The following is a 16,621-nucleotide window of genomic DNA, read 5'->3' on the forward strand; positions in this document are numbered from 1 at the left end:
CAATCAGTGCTCTGTGTCTGGCTAAAGGATTGTTAATGCACCAATCAGCACTCTGTAAAAATGTACCAATCTTTCATCCCATCTCATCCCATCTTTCAGTCACTTCACAAATGGTTCCTAGTAGATACAAAACAGTTTTTTCTCCAATGGGAAAACAGAAAACAGCCACTCAGTTTGCTCCCAACACCCGTTTCTAGCCGCTTACCACAGCTACCTTGGCAAGTACTCTAGGAGTATGGGAAAATGAAAACGACAAACTCACACACCTTTTTAACATACACAACCAGTTCTGACTACCTAGCCAAGGCAGATTCTTCTTCTGTGGAATGTCAACCTATATCTGCCTCCCGACCAACTGGACAGGCACCTGCAACCTTAGTCTTCCTATGTCCCAACATTAACATTGCCCCAGGAAATCAGACCCTATCAGTGCCCCTCAAAACTCAAGTCCGTCAGCACAGAGCCATACAGCTAATACCCCTGCTTATAGGGTTAGGAATGGCTACTGCTATGGGAACCGGAATAGCCAGTTTATCTACTTCATTATCCTACTATCACACACTCTCAAAGGATTTCTCAGACAGTTTGCAAGAAATAACAAAATCTATCCTTACTCTACAGTTCTAAATAGACTCTTTGACAGCAGTGACTCTCCAAAACCACTGAGGCCTAGGCCTCCTCACTGCTGAGAAAGGAGGGCTCTGCATCTTTTTAGGGGAAGAGTATTGTTTTTACACTAACCAGTCAGGGATAATACGAGATGCTGCCCGGCGTTTACAGGAAAAGGCTTCTGAAATCAGGCAATGCCTTTCTAATTCTTACACCAACCTCTGGAGTTGGGCGACATGGCTTCTCCCCTTTCTAGGTCCCATGAAAGCCATCTTGCTATTACTCACCTTTGGGCCCTGTATTTTTAACCTCCTTGTCAAATTTGTTTCCTCTAGGATCGAGGCCATCAAGCTACAGATGGTCTTACAAATGGAACCCCAAGTGAACTCAACTAACAACTTCCACCAAGGACCCCTGGACCAACCCGTTGGCCCTTTGACTGGCCTAAAGAGTTCCCTTCTGAAGGACACTACAAGTGCAGGGCCCCTTCTTCGCCCCTATCCAGCAGTAAGTGGCTAGAGAGGTCATCACCCAATTCCCAACAGCAGTTGTGGTGTCCTGTTTAGATGGGGGATTGAGAGGTGAAGCCAGCTGGACTTCCTGGGTCAAGTGGGGACTTGGAGAACTTTTCTGTCTAGCTAGAGGATTGTAAATGCACCAATCAGTGCTCTGTGTCTAGCTAAAGGATTGTAAATGCACCAATCAGCACTCTGTAAAAACGCAGCAATCAGCACTCTGTAACTAGCTAAAGGGTTGTAAATGCACCAATCAGCACTCTGTAAAATGGAACAATCTGCAGGATGTGGGCAAATAATGGAATAAAAGCTGGCCACCCCAGTCAGCAGCAGCAGGGAACCGCTCAGATACCCTTCCACACCGTGGAAACTTTGTTCTTACCCTCTTGACGAAAAATCTTGCTGCTGCTCACTCTTTGGGTCCACACCACCTTTAAGAGCTACAACGATCACCACGACAGTCTGCGGCTTCATTCTTGAAGTCAGCGACACCACAAACCCACCAGAAGGGAGAAACTCCAGACACATCTGAAGGAACAAACTCCAGACACAACATCTTTAACAGCTGTAACACACACTGTGAAGGTCCACGGCTTCATTCTTGAAGCCAGCGAGACCACGAACCCTCTGGAAGGAACCAACTCTGGACACAGCAGGACGTGAGACTTCTACCTGCTCACTCAGAATCATTTCCGCACCAACCATGGCCACGTTTGTGGAGCTCAGTACAAAAGCCAAGATGCCCATTGTGGGCCTGGGCACTTGGAGGGTAAATATGCAAATCTTTGCACAACTTTCTTCTCTGGAGGGCTGTTTGGGTGTTTTCTCTTTCTACATTCAGCCAGAAAAGCCTGGAGGTCGGGTAGGGGTTTGGAGAGGTGAATTTCAGTCCTGGAGCTGGGACTCGGGTTGCTTTCTTTTCTCAAAGCTGATTCAAGCTGCAATGCTGCAAGACTGGCTTTCCCAGCAGTGATGAGAACTCCTCTAGCAAGTATCAAATTTCAAGCAGAGTTGGACTTAAAATTGTTTTCCAGGGCAGTTTCTCTCTCTGGCTCTAGGACACTTAATTGGGCACAAGGTTTCCCCAGAGTCTTGGCTGTGGGTTTGTTGTGGGCTGGGTGGTTGTGGAGAGGATGCAGAGCCAGAAGTCCCTGGCACCACTTTGCAGATCACCATGTGGGACTTGGGCTAGCAGCATCCCTATGACCTGGGAGCTTGTTAGACATGCAGAACTGGCTGGGTGTGGTGGCTCATGCCTGTAATCCCAGCACTTTGGGAGATCCAGACGAGAGGACTGCTTAAGCCCAGGAGTTGGAGACCAGACTGGGCAACATAGCAAGACCCAATTTCTACAAATAATCAATAAATTAGCTGTGCATGGTGGCATGCAGCTGTAGTCCCAGCCACTTGGGAGGCTGAGGTGGAGATTGAGTGTTGAGCCTGAGAGGTCAAGGCTGCAGTGAGCAGTGATTGTGCCACTGCACTCCAGTCTGGGCAACAGAGTGAGATCCCGTGTAAGAGAAAGAAAGAAAGAGAAAAAATGCAGAGTCTCAGGCTTCACCCAGGCTACCTAACGGGCATCTGCACTTTAACAAGTTCCCTAGGTGGTTCCTGTACACATTGAAATCTGCAACATGCTGGGACTGCAGAGAGCCTGGGCTGGGAGTCGTGAGCTCCACCCGGCTGTTTTTATGACAGCTGGCAAAACACGCTAAGGCACATTGAGGACTCAGTGAGGCAGGTTCCTGGGCCTCTGTTAGGCTAAGTTTGAAGTTGTTCCATCACTGCCTCCCTCTGCCTTCTTTGCCATTTCCATCCATGATAGCACTACCCTAACTAGTGATGAGAAGCAGTCTTTGGAGTTCCTCTTCTCTCCTGTCCCTCATGGCTAATTTCCCTGCTCAGACTTCTGCCTCTGGCTCTCTTTCCTTCTGTGCACACTGACTTTTTTCCCTCTCCTGTGCCGAGCTGGAGGGTAGGACCCTCTGCTGCAGCACTGGGTCATTCTCAGGATAAAGTCTTGGTCTATCTGGGCGAACAGATCACTTCCAGCTCGATTCATACATACTGACTCTTGCTTGAATAGCAAGATTTGCCCCAAATCAGAGCTTTAATCCTATATAAATGGAACAAATAATCACTTCCAGATCTCCAGGGAATCTGCTCACCCTTCATAAGTTTACTAGACAGTTTCAGAATTTTGGAATTGAATGTAAGAATTATGAAGGGAGCTGCCTTCAACACGTGGGGATGATAGATTAAAGGATTATGAACTTAGCAGTGGAGGTGAAGAAGGGTGTAGTATAGCGGTTGGGGTCACAGGGCTGCTTCTAGATGCCAGGTGGCAGCCCGTTTCTTGCCCAGGTGGTAGGGTAGTTGTGCATCTCTGTTTTGTGTACTTTTCAATGTTTGTTACCTCACAATAGAAGAGGTTTAAAAGACTATTTTGTGAGAGATCAAGTTTTAAGTGCTTTTTGCCCCCATCATTGGCTTGGCTAGGTTAGAACAAAGTGTGATAATTGTATTTCCTTTTTTTCTTTTCTTTCCTTCCCTTCTTTCTCTCCCTCTCTCTCGTTCTCCCTACCTCGCTCTTTCTTTTTATAGGAATGGAAAACAAACTCTATTCCTATAAGCTTCTCTATTTCTCCTTTTTTTCCAAAATGATCATTGTATAATGGACGGCCTGTACTGAGCCTGTGTGTCAGGTAATGTGGTTAACTTAACATTCATTACAGCATGTCATCACCACAAAGGCCTCTTGTGGCTGGTGCTATTTTTTTTTCCATTTTGCCGACAAGGTTTAGAGAGATTGAATCACCTGCTTAGACCCACACACCCAGTAAGTGTTGGAATCTGGATTGATGCTGTAATGACCATTATCCAGATCCTTATCACCGTTTGGGGAAATTGTCTGAAAATCCCTCTGGGTTATTTAGAGTCAAGCTTTCATCTGGGTCTTCAGAAAGTTGTAGTGGAGCCATCTGCACCACCACACACCTGAAGACATTTCAGGACTAACCTGGATGAAAAGGGAACTGACTTTTAGCTAGGATAGGACAAAAGGGCATAATCATAAAATTAATTCACTTTCCTTCCTTTCTTTTGAAAACTTTTCTAAACTGTGTATCCTCCCAGATATTCCCTGGCAAAGAAGACCCCAGCGAAGCCTTGGTTTGGAGAAACTGGACCGTGTGGGGCAGGTGAAGGTGGTCTGGGGATAAGAGAATATGGTGGTTGCTGAGTGTGGTGTAATTCCAGCTACTCAGGAGTTGGGAGGATTGTTTGAACCTGGGAGTGTGAGGCCAGCCTGGGCAACATGGCAAGGTCTCATCTCTTAAAAAAAAAATACATGTGTGATGGGCTTTTCTTTTGCTTTTCAGTCTCTTCTCGGCAAAGTGAAAGAAGCGGTGAAGGTGGCCATTGATGCAGAATATCGCCACATTGACTGTGCCTATTTCTATGAGAATCAACATGAGGTGGGAGAAGCCATCCAAGAGAAGATCCAAGAGAAGGCTGTGATGCGGGAGGACCTGTTCATCGTCAGCAAGGTGCACATGGCGCATTTGGTGGGAGGCCTTCACTTCAAGGCAGGCAGAAGTATCTGGATCGGGTGGGCAGCAAGAACTCTGTCGGCCTTTTCTACGTGTACCCGTTTTCATCTCTGCCTTGATAACATCCGTGGATACAATACTATCCATACTCCAAGCCGTTATTGATATTTGAACATGTCGTGGCTGCCCCACCTGCCTGCGGGTTGGATTTCCCATAGTGGGCTTGGCTCCCTCTGGGCCTCCCTGTTCCCCATCAGAGGGATCTACCATCTGCCCAGAGGCAGTCACAGGCCAAGGGTGCAGGCAGGGCTTGATATGAAGCCTCCCTCTCAGCACTGTGGTCTCAGCGACTGTGCCCCTGAGGTTCTCAGCCAGGGGGTATTTTGGAAAACAGTAGGAGCACTTTTCTATTATCACATGTGATTTTCTTTATTCAGTCTAGTAAAAGTTGAGGTATACAATGTTATAAAAAAAGAAAAGGATGTTGGGTGTGAGGGTGTTGAGAATCACTGGATCTATATTATATGCAAGTTGCTGAAAAAAAAAACAAAACACTAGTTCTGTGTACTTGGAAAATGCTTACATCTGGTGGGACAAATAGACCCCACTGTGTAGCAGCCAAGTCTGGATAAAGCCCTTTTAAAGTTATCACTTGGGTCCTGATAGGCTTGATAAGGGACCTATCAGATGGGTCAGATAAAGGGCCATCTATTCCCAAAGGCCTAAGAATGCTTGACATTTAAAAGCTACACGCAATTCCTGCTCTCAGAGAGCCCACAGCTGAGGAAGAGACTGAGACAGGTAAACAAATTTCAAATCTGTGGCCACATTTACTTAAATGATCTGAGACACTTATAGAGTACTAGGAGAGTTGAAAAAGTCAACTGCTTTTAAAACTTAAGACATGTCATTGAGGTGCTGAGCCCTGGCGATCTTCCACACTGCATCGTGGATCTTAATCAGCTTTGTTATAGATGGCCTGAGCCAGGTTAGATGAGGATGCAAATCAAAAAGCAGGGACAATGAGTATAATGTGGCCCTTCCTTTTCCCAGTATTACTAGCTCATTGCTACACTCTTTGCAGGTGTGGCCCACTTTCTTTGAGAGACCCCTTGTGAGGAAAGCCTTTGAGAAGACCCTCAAGGACCTGAAGCTGAGCTATCTGGACGTCTATCTTATTCACTGGCCACAGGGATTCAAGGTTTGAGTGACTCCCTTTCTCAGCCTCTAGTTTCTGAGCTGTTGCAGGAATTCAGGGACCCCCAACAGAGAGACTGGCTGAAGCCATGGCAGAAGAACATAAATTGTGAAGATTTCATGGACATTTCTTAATTCCCCACATTAATGTTTTTATAATTTCTTACGCCTGTCTTTACTGCAATCTCTGAACATAAATTGTGAAGATTTCATGAACATTTATCACTTCCCCAATCAGTACTTTTGTGATTTCCTATGCCTGTCTTTACTTAAATCTCTTAATCCCATCATCTTCGTAAGCTGAGGATGAATGTCGCCTCAGGACCCTGTGATGATTGCATTAACTGCACAAATTGTTTGTAGAGCATGTGTGTTTGAACAATATCAAATATGGGCACCTTAAGAACAGGATAACAGCGATGTTCAGGGAACAAGGGAGATAACCTTAAAGTCTGGCTGCCTGTGGGCCGGGCAGCACAGAGCCATATTTCTCTTCTTTCAAAAGAAAATAGGAGAAATATTGCTGAATTCTTTTTCTCAGCAAGGAACAACCCTGAGAAAGAGAATGCGCTCCTAGGGGTAGGCCTCTAAAATGGCTGCTCTGGGGACGGCTGTCTTTTACAGTTGTAGATAAGGGATGAAATAAGCCCCGGACTCCTGTTGTGCTCCCAGGCTTATTAGGACGAGGAAATTCCCACCTAATAAATTTTGGTCAGACCGATTGTGTGCTCTCAAACCCTGTCTCCTGATAAGACGTTATCAATGACAATGCATGCCCGAAACTTCATTAGCAATTTTAATTTTGCCCCGGTCCTGTGATCTTGCCCTGCCTCCATTTGCCTTGTGATATTTTATTACCTTGTGAAGTAGGTCATCTCTGTGATCCACACCCTATTTGTATACTCCCTCCCCTTTTGAAAATCACTAATAAAAACTTGCTGGTTTTGTAGCTTGAGGGCATCATGGAACCTGCCGAAACGTGATGTCTCCCCCGGACACCCAGCTTTAAAAATTTCTCTCTTTGTAATCTTTCCCTTTATTTCTCAGACCAGCCAACACTTAGGGAAATAGAAAAGAACCTACATGAAATAACGATGAATTATCAGGGGCGGATTCACCCAATACTGAGCAGGTGCCAGAAAGTAGTAGCTGCACCAGGGCTGCAGAGTGGTGTGGACTGGAGCAGGAGAGCTTGCACTTCATAATTGGGAATGGCAGGTGGTCAGGAAGAGACCTTGGAGCAGAAAGATGCTGGCTGGAAGGGAGGCTAAGGCCATGTGCGCTGCTGAGGTGCTCACATGCCTGGGTTATCTTGCAGTTATGTCTGAGAGAAGACATGATTTCTGGCAGCCCAGACAAGTTGTAACTGCCATATCACCTTTGTCTAGATTCCATGCCCTGGGGTTGCCCTCCCAGGAAACCTCTTGGGTTATTCTTCCATAACTGTATTCCAGGGCTTAATTATTTTATTAAGCAAAGCACACCTGGCAGTGGCATCTTGGAGAAAAGTCCAAGTATGGTGATGCTGGAAGGAAGCCAGTAGTGATCCCAGCACCCATTGCCTGGGGCTCTGCTCTTACCTGCTCCTGAGGGGTGGGGGAGACAAATTTCCAGCTCTCTCCCCTCCTGACCAGCTGGAGTGATGATGGCCTGCCATCCCGAATTCCACGCCTCTTCTAGAGGCTGCAAGGATAGAAGTTGGCCAATATCTTCTCCAGAAAACCACACCCTGGAGATCTAATCTTTATCCAGTGATACTGAAATGAAAGTTTGCCCTTGGGTGTGTATAGGATGTAGGTGTGTGAGGTTAATGTCCATGGTGATAATGGTGGCTTCTGGAATGTACTAACAGAGGATCTTAAAGTCAATCCAGTAGTTTCTAAAAATATAGGGATTAATATGCTACAGTAGATATAGAGATTTTATTTAAACTCACATTCTTGTAGTATGTACTCCAGAGCTTGAAAAAGTGGTATGCAGATGTGGTATTTAGCAAGCATCAGGATCCTGAAACCTTGTTGAACAGAACCAAGTGTCCTGATGCAGATTCCAGTAAACTTTTCATTCTGTATTTACAGACTGGGGATGACTTTTTCCCCAAAGATGATAAAGGTAATATGATCAGTGGAAAAGGAACGTTCTTGGATGCCTGGGAGGTAGGTTCCAGCTTTGTCTAAGTGTGCTGGGAGAGAAATCCTCAGTTATCCATGAGATTCCCATTGATATGAAAGAGGCCATGTGCCTGATGCTTTCTAATTTCATCATTGTGATTCTCTAGCTCTTCTAATATCCTCCTCATCACCTTTGGCTTTTGGGTGCATCTGATACTATTTATATTTCAAGCCTACTACTGAGTCTTCAAATAAGACTGGAAATACAATGTACCCCACTTTGGGGAATACACATGCTGTTCTCAAACCAGGGTGAGGCATTTGGAACAGAGGGTTTGGGCCTGGGTTTGCTCATAGCAGCTGAGTAACCTAGGGTCAGTTTTGTAACTCTTGTAGGGCTCAGTTTTCTCTTTAAAGAAAAAAGGTCTTATAATACATACTACTAATATATATCTTTCGGGGTGTGATAAAACTTAAGATGGTTTACGTGCCGGGAACATCAGTCATAAAGCCCATGTAATCATCTAACCCTAGGAGACAGGGTTAACATCCCCATTTATAAATAATGACATTTGAAACCTAGATTGGTTGGTGACTTGCCCAGGTCATGTCACAATGTGTGTGGCAGAGCTGGGATTAGACCCAGACTCATCTGAATTGCAAGTCCAACCACCAAAACCATCAGCATGGTGCTTGGTAAGCAGTGAACACACATCCGGAAATCAGGGAACTTTGTAATCCCAGCACTTTGGGAAGCCGAGGTGGAAGGATCATGAGGTCAGAAGTTTGAGACCAGTCTGGCTAGCAGAGTAAAACGCTGTCTCTACTAAAAATACAAAAAATTAGCCAGGTGTGGTGGTGTGTGCCTGGAATGTGAGCTACTTGGAAGGCTGAGGCAGGAGAATTGTGTGAACTTGGGAGGTGGAGGTTGCATTGAGCCAAGATTGCACCATTGCACTCCAGCCCAGGCGTCAGTGCAAGACACCATCTTGAAGAAAAAAAAAAAAAAGAAAAAAGAAAATCAGGGAGCCTGAGTGCCCTGCTTCTCAGATCAAACCCATGACCTGTTTCACATCATTTCATATTGAAAATGAATTAAGGGATGAATGTTTTCTCTGGCCATTTTTTATTATACCATTATGTCCTTTTGCAAATGCTAATAGAGAACGAATTGGAGAAATAAGATATAAATGAACAGTGGCATATAACTCCAAGAGTTAATCATGTTATCTTGGCAGCTGTCTGTGTAGGGGTGCATGTAGTTGCGAGTTTGTATTGTGTTTTACACGGGAAAATATATTAAGCCTCACCTTTCTGAAATGCTTAGAATTGACATGATTCAATTAAATGTAGTTTTTTCTGTGTATTGTTTGTTCAAAAGCATTAATCCACAAGCACAGCATTCTTTTTTTGATACAGATTCTCACTCTGTCACACAAGCTAGGGTGCAGTGACACCATCTTGGCTCACTACAACCTCCCTCTACCAAGTAAAAACCATTCTCCTGCCTTGGCCTTCCAAGTAGCTGGGACTACATGTGCATGCCACCACACATGGATAATTTTTATATTTTTAGTAGAGATGAGGTTTCACCATGTTGGCCAGGCTGGTCTCAAACTCCTGACCTCAAGGGATCCACCCGTCTCAGCCTCCCAAAGTGTTCAGATTACAGGCGTGAGCTATAGCACCAGGCTGTTTGCATTACATTTGATCTGTGTTTTTGCCTTAGCTCCTATGATGATATGAAGTATGGCAAGTATGTCAATGTACCCTGCTTCTCACAGTGCTATGTTTTCTTAATGAACATGAGGATGACTGCTAAAGAAAACATTTGAAAGGCATGAAAAGATATCATTGATCAAGTTCAGAGGCTCTGATTTGAAACGAGCATGCTTGAATACGTAAGCATTGGATGTTTATGTAGACCCACAACCAGTTCAGTAGAAACCTCATTGACTACCCTGAAGCAGAGGGGAGGAAAAAAGTATAAAGAAGTCAAGTTTTAATACGGGAAAACTAACCTGACCTATGATGCACAAAAGCTTTTAAATTATCTAATTGCTGAATCAGAAGTTTTTGGGAAACTTATGATTTCATAGCTTCCAAACTCTACTTCCCAATTTGAATAACTTAATCTATGCTAGTGGTTCTCAACGTTGGCTGGGCATTAGAATCACCTGAGGAATTTAAAAATCCCAATGTCTAGGCTACAACTCAGACAAAATCAGTAAGAAACTCTGGGGGATGAAATCCAGGAATCAGTCATTTTTCTTTTTTAATTTAGAGAGAGTCTTGCTCTGTTGCCCAGAGTAGAGTACAATGGCATGATCATAGCTCAGTGCAGCCTTGGACTCCTGGGCTCAAGTAAACCTCTGAAGTAGCTGGGATCAGAGGCACACGTCACCGCATCCAGCTAATTAAAACAAATTTTTTTTTTTGGTAGAGACAGAGTCTTGCTATGTTGCCCAGGATGGACTCAAACATCTGGCCTTAAGCAATCCTCCTGTCTCAGCCTCCCAAAGTGCTGAGATTAGTCATGAGCCACTGCATCCAGCCAGTACCTTTCAAAGCTCACTAGTGATTCCAAATTGCAGCCAAAATTGAGAAGGGCTGCATAAAGTGTTCCCTGAACATGTCATGCTCATCCCTGCCTCTGAGCTTTGCTCCTGCCTTCCTGCCTTCCTGTGTCATATGCTCATGTTTTTCCCCTCTTTTCTCTCTCTCGGGGTTTTTGTTTGTTTGTTTGTTTGTTTTTTGAGGCCCAGCTTATACTCTACCTGAAAGGACTCCCCTGACAACTGCGGGCTGTGTGAATCTCTTCCTTCTCTGCCTTTCTGACTCTGTCTATGCCACTGTCATGTTATCTGAGGCAGCCTCAGTGTCATGATTGATGGCTCCATAGAAGGGAACTCTAGCACTTTAATTGGACTGTAAGAATCCCAGAAGAAGGAAGCACATTGTATACTTTTACATCTTGACAACTTCTGGGCAGGATCTAGAACATGTAATAGATGGCTACTAAATACATGTTGCATTGGAGGCTGCTGCTAACATATATGATATCTTTGGGCAAGTTTGGAAAATGCCCAATAAAGGCTAAAAATTATACAAAGATTCCCTTCCTTGCATGTCCATGCAGCTTCTGTACCAGGAAGCATGGCTGGATATGCAAACAGTGGGTCAGGTTTTAGCCCCACACAACTCCGTGGCCGGGTGCCCCTGCTAGGGCGTAATTTATATGCATGACCTTCTTGCAAACCAAGCCATGGTTGGTGTGGGAGACAGTGACTCAGGACCCACAGGTGAGGCTTCTCCGTATGCTGCAGCCTCTTCCTGACTAACACAGCTTGCCCAGGTTTGGGTGTACAATGTACACACACAACAGTAGCTCCCTGCTATCATTTGGATTCATTAAAAATTAAATCATCTCATAAGCTTACAAATGTTGATTTTTATTTATTTTTTTCATGATAAAACTTTCATATTTCCATGGTGTATGGAACTATAATTTTTTATGTGTTTCTTTACGTGTAAGGTGAGAGTGGCAAGAACATAAAATCTTTACCTGTTAGTTTTAGATTTTCTTGGGCTGGGGAGGGGCAGTAGGGCTGGAACCAATCACTGATGGGCACCCAGGCCCTGGACTGAAATTTCCTGTGAATGCTTCAGCTAACTCTGTTGCGGTGGATCCTTTAGCAATTTCTGCCCCAGGGAAGACTAAGGCAAGCCAGGGTCCCTGTAGTCCCTCTAGAGCTGCCCATAAGGTATTCCTTTCTATGATAGGCCATGGAGGAGCTGGTGGACGAGGGGCTGGTGAAAGCCCTTGGGGTCTCAAATTTCAACCACTTCCAGATCGAGAGGCTCTTGAACAAACCTGGACTGAAATATAAACCAGTGACTAACCAGGTAAATTCTATTCAGTTTAAGGGTAAGGGTCCTGCCCTATTACTTCTTAAACATTGCGGGGGGAATGTTCAATGCTATGCCCTGAGTCTTATCTCAGGGGTCAGTGATCAGGACACTTTGGGGAGGTGTGAGGCTGATCTCATGGGTGATTTAGCAAGAATCTCAGTGCGCACTTGTTTGGCCTTTGCTTGGTGGACTTTTTTTGTGTGTAGAACTCCCTAGGAACAATGCAAAACAGAGCCGGCTTTCCCCGTGATGAGGATTGTTTGCTGTTGCAGGTTGAGTGTCACCCATACCTCACGCAGGAGAAACTGATCCAGTACTGCCACTCCAAGGGCATCACCGTTACGGCCTACAGCCCCCTGGGCTCTCCGGATAGACCTTGGTGAGGCTTCCAAGTGGTGGGTCTTTCTCTTGATAATCTTAAAAACATTATTTTATAATTGGTAAATGTCGGTATGGGTCCATAAGTTACTGGAAAGAAAAATGTGTGTAAGGTAACACGTTTGGTACACACAAATGGGATGGCAGTGGGAAAAAATGGGAATTAAACAACAACAACAACAACAAGGGCGACATGCTTGACCCTCTGGGAATATTTCCAGTTCAGCCACCCAAGGGTGAACCAGGCTTGCAAAATGCTGAGGCTTCAGAGCCCGGGGAAAGGACCCAAGCTTCCAGGTCCTCCTGCCTGTCTCCCAGATGGAGAGGCTCTGATGATCAGTCTTGAGACCCTCATTGGAGTGGTGTCCTTCTGTACACGGTAGCCATGGTGATTATTCACATCAGCATCTTTCTGCCCCTAGGGCCAAACCTGAGGACCCTTCCCTGCTGGAGGATCCCAAGATTAAGGAGATTGCTGCAAAGCACAAAAAAACCACAGCCCAGGTACCATATTTTTATTTTTCTTGTTATCCAACCACTCATGCTTCCAGTCTCATGTTTCATTTCTCGTGTTGTCCTCAACTGACTCCTTAAAGGGGAAGAACACAGGAGCTGAAGCCCTCTAAAGTATTTCCTTTGAAGTCTGTTGGAACCTCTAGGAAACACAAGAGCTGTCACTGAAGCAAAGATAGCTTCTGTCTCACAGCTTCCTGTCAAGCCCTACAGCCCAGTGGCAAAGCATGGCTTTGGAGTCTAGGGATATGGGTGCAGATGCCAACTCTACCTCTGATCAGCCTTATGACCCCCAAGCTACTTTCTTCATTCCTAAAAAAGGAAGATCACAGGGTTGTCTCTAAGGTGAAGGGAGAGAAAGAGGTGGGGGTCTGGCACAAGTCTAATAGCTGTGAAGGGCTCAGTAATTATTAGCGATTGTACCTGAAGCCACAGTGAGCTGCAGAGATGTTTTATTCTTCCTTTCCATAAAAGGAGGGGTCCTTGTAGCTGAGTGGAAACATGATGTCCCCTTTCTGCACAGGTTCTGATCCGTTTCCATATCCAGAGGAATGTGACAGTGATCCCCAAGTCTATGACACCAGCACACATTGTTGAGAACATTCAGGTAAGTTTCCGGCTGGTCGGGCCTGGTATTCCTCAGTGGAGTGGGGGACAGGCAGACCTTCTCACTAGGCTTCTCACCTCATCCCTGCACTGTCTTTGGCCCCCTCCTTCCCCACCACCCTATCATTTTCCAGCCCAGGGAGCTAGGCTCGGTAGAGCTGAGATGAATGACCCATGGGCTAAGAACATCCTGGGGGCAGTGCCTGGTAAAGCCCTATCAGGTCTGAGCACAGTTGTGCCTCACACCACTGAGAAGACCCTCAGTTGCCCCTGAGCAGCTAGGCCCTAGGCCATACACAAGAGCAGACTGTCCTGGCCTACCTGCTCACCTCCCAGCAGCAGAGGAGGTGTGAACTGTCCTTGGAGAAGTGTCCTCTAGAAGCACCTGTCATGGAGCACAGGGCCTGTGCACGCCTGGGGTTTAGTGCCTGTGAGCCTGGTCTCCCTCCCCCCAGAACACTGAGCACTACAAATACTGTGGTCTTTGTGTAGGACCTAATTTAGAGAAAAATTTGTATCCCTTGGACAGAATGGGAAAAACTCCTATGGCCAGTTTGTGCTGTGAATGTGAGCTCCCTCCCTGCTAGAATGGCCGGCAGTCTCCAGCCACAGCAGTAACAGCCTTACCGATAATGTATTGGAATTCTTTCCTTTCTAGGTCTTTGACTTTAAATTGAGTGATGAGGAGATGGCAACCATACTCAGCTTCAACAGAAACTGGAGGGCCTTTGACTTCAAGGAGTAAGTGGCATGGAGTTAACTAGAAGAATTGCCAGGAGTTTTTCTAAACTGGTAGAGGGTTAGTTGGAAGGATTAGAAGGTTGTTGGGACTACTTGTGTCTTCAAATACTATTTTGGGGCAGTTTTGAAAGTTAAAATTTGGGTACCTGGGAATCACTGTAAGGGACACATCTCTAATTGCTGCTTATTGTCTGAACTTCTGGATGTAGAGCTAGAATTGTAAGAGAAGGTGTGTTATCAATAGGCAGGAGGCAGAACATTCATTTATTCATTCATTCAGTCAATATCTAGTGGTCATCTGTGTGCCAGGCATTTTCTAGGTGCTTGGGTTATCATACTGTACAAAGCTGCTGCCTCCACAGGCTTAGGGAGGGAGGGAAGAAGAGACAACAGAAATAAATCAACTCAAAATATTGATGTCAGACAGCAACAAATGCTAGACAGAAAAGTAAAGTAGGGCAAAGTGGACAGGAAGTGGTAGGTGGTAGTGGGACTGATCCTTTATACGGGTTGGGTCAAGGGAAGCTTTGCTGTGAGGGATATGCCATATGTATATTTGGGGGAAGAGCATTCTTGGCAGTGATAACAGCAGGTGCAAAGTCCCTGAGGTGGGATTGTGTTTAGAGCATTCAAGCAAGAAGGCCAGGGAGGCTGGATTAAATCATCTCCAAATGCCTCTTAAAGGAGGTGGTGCTAACTTTACTTTAAATCTCAGATAAGTTGTTGAAAAAAAGTCTTTCACTCTGGCTAGGCGGGAATTCTACATCATCTCTTTAGAATCAATACTTTCTGATTAATGTGTCTAATTACATATATCAAATAGAATTGTCTGGCATTTATTACTGCGAGGTCTGCAATTCAATGGCAATTTGAATTTCTTCAAATATTTGTGTAGCCAAAAATGATTTTTCAGCTTTTAAAAATGATTTCAGTATCTCAAGCGTTGCTTGCATGTCATGATATTCCATATCTATCCTGCCCACCCTCAGTATCATAGCAGCCTTTCCTCATCTTACAATGGCTTAGTTTCATCCGTGCTTAACAAAGTAGCAGCTATTTAGAGTAAAAAGGAAGGGTGAACATAAGATGTGACTCTCCCCCAAACTAAAACACTTACTTTCCTATGAGCATCATTTCTGGTGTAGGCAATGGGTTGGTGGACTCAGAAGTAAATCCACCTGGCCTCAAATCCAACTCTAACACTGGTTTCTTCGCTGTGTGACATTGGGCAAATTTCTTAGTTTTTCTAAGTTGGTTTCTTTACCTATAAAGTAGGATGATAATACTAATCGCAGCTAACATCCATTGAACCTTAGCTTAGAATGTGCCAGGGTCCTGAGCCCTTTTCCGGTGGTATTATCTCATTTAATACTCATAACAATCCCCAAGCTGTCAATTCTGCTGTTGTTTCCTACCTCATGATGTTGTGAGAGTGGATTGGGACAAGACTTGTCTGTCACCTCGCCTGACACCAGGCTTACCGTGAGTTGTCATTACGAGTTTATTCTGCTGCCCTGCTCACTGTCTGCCCTCCTTCCTAGCAAAACCCTCATATCGATTTGAAGGAAGGTCAAGGTGTAAGCACCCTTCTTGTGTTCTTGCAGGGAGGAGGCTGAGAGACCACAAATACCACAGAGTCCACCAGAGAAGAATACCTTCTCAGCGAGAGTTGTTGCTTTGATGGAACACAGTTTCTTTTTTTTTTTCTCTCTCTCTGTAGATTCTCTCATTTGGAGGACTTTCCCTTCGATGCAGAATATTGAGGTTGAATCTCCTGGTGAGATTACACAGGGGATTCTCTTTCTTCGCTGAAGTGTGACTGTCTCCACTCAAGAACTATTTTAGCCAAGCTTATCTGAGATCACAGTGAACTTTGTCCTGTTGTAGACCAGAATGGAGGTGCTGTTTTAGACATGTATTTCTGTATGTTCAACTAGGATAAGAATATCACAGAAAAGCATGGCCTGAATAAGCAAATGACAATTTTTTCCACTTATCTGATCTGATCAAATGTCTGTTAAGCACCAGAAACTCTGCCAACACTGAGGATGTAAAGATAAATAATAAAAAATAATGACTTTAACCAACATGTATTGAGAGTGTACTATGCGCCAACACAATTTGAAGTGTTTTCCTGTGGGTGAATTCACTGAATCCTCAAAATAACCCCTTTGGGGTAGGTACTTTTAACATCTTCTTATTCACATTTCCTGGAAGAGGAAATAGAGATGCAGGGAGGGAGGAGGACCTTGCTCAAGGCCACCCAGGTAGTAAGTGACTGAACCAAGTTTCAAAGGCAGGCAGGCTCTGGGATCCAGCTCACAGCAATCGATGGTCATCCCTTCCTCCTGAGTCTTTTCCTGCCACCTCTCCTCCTTGCCTGTCTCCACTCATTCCCTATCATGCTCTCCCACCTTGCCTTCAATACACCATCGTGCCAAAGAGTCAATGGCAGAACCTGCAAACTCCACAAAGATGCTAGTGTTCA

The 16,621-nt window shown here is 45.0% G+C and overlaps 1 protein-coding gene across 6 annotated transcripts in view; it reads left to right on the plus strand.

Moving 5' to 3' along the window:
* The window catches only part of AKR1B15 (aldo-keto reductase family 1 member B15), a 30,760-nt gene extending 14,544 nt beyond the window's left edge, over positions 1 to 16,216 (plus strand). For 2 of the 6 annotated variants that reach the window (NM_001080538.3, NM_001367820.1), the window contains 10 exons: positions 945 to 1,116; positions 4,505 to 4,672; positions 5,760 to 5,876; positions 7,951 to 8,028; positions 11,767 to 11,889; positions 12,168 to 12,274; positions 12,696 to 12,777; positions 13,310 to 13,393; positions 14,051 to 14,133; positions 15,854 to 16,216. In NM_001080538.3, coding sequence (NP_001074007.2) covers positions 967 to 1,116; positions 4,505 to 4,672; positions 5,760 to 5,876; positions 7,951 to 8,028; positions 11,767 to 11,889; positions 12,168 to 12,274; positions 12,696 to 12,777; positions 13,310 to 13,393; positions 14,051 to 14,133; positions 15,854 to 15,896 — 1,035 coding nt within the window. In that variant the 5' untranslated portion in view covers positions 945 to 966 and the 3' untranslated portion in view covers positions 15,897 to 16,216. Of the gene's footprint in view, positions 1 to 944; positions 1,894 to 4,504; positions 4,673 to 5,759; positions 6,822 to 7,950; positions 8,029 to 11,766; positions 11,890 to 12,167; positions 12,275 to 12,695; positions 12,778 to 13,309; positions 13,394 to 14,050; positions 14,134 to 15,853 lie in introns of those variants that run through there. The other 4 variants (NM_001367821.1, NR_160301.1, NM_001367822.1 and 1 more) reach the window with 4 other exon arrangements.
* The last annotated feature ends 405 nt before the right edge of the window (positions 16,217 to 16,621 follow it).

Source organism: Homo sapiens, chromosome 7 (assembly GCF_000001405.40).
Source record: "Homo sapiens chromosome 7, GRCh38.p14 Primary Assembly".
NCBI classification, from domain to species: Eukaryota; Metazoa; Chordata; class Mammalia; order Primates; family Hominidae; genus Homo; species Homo sapiens.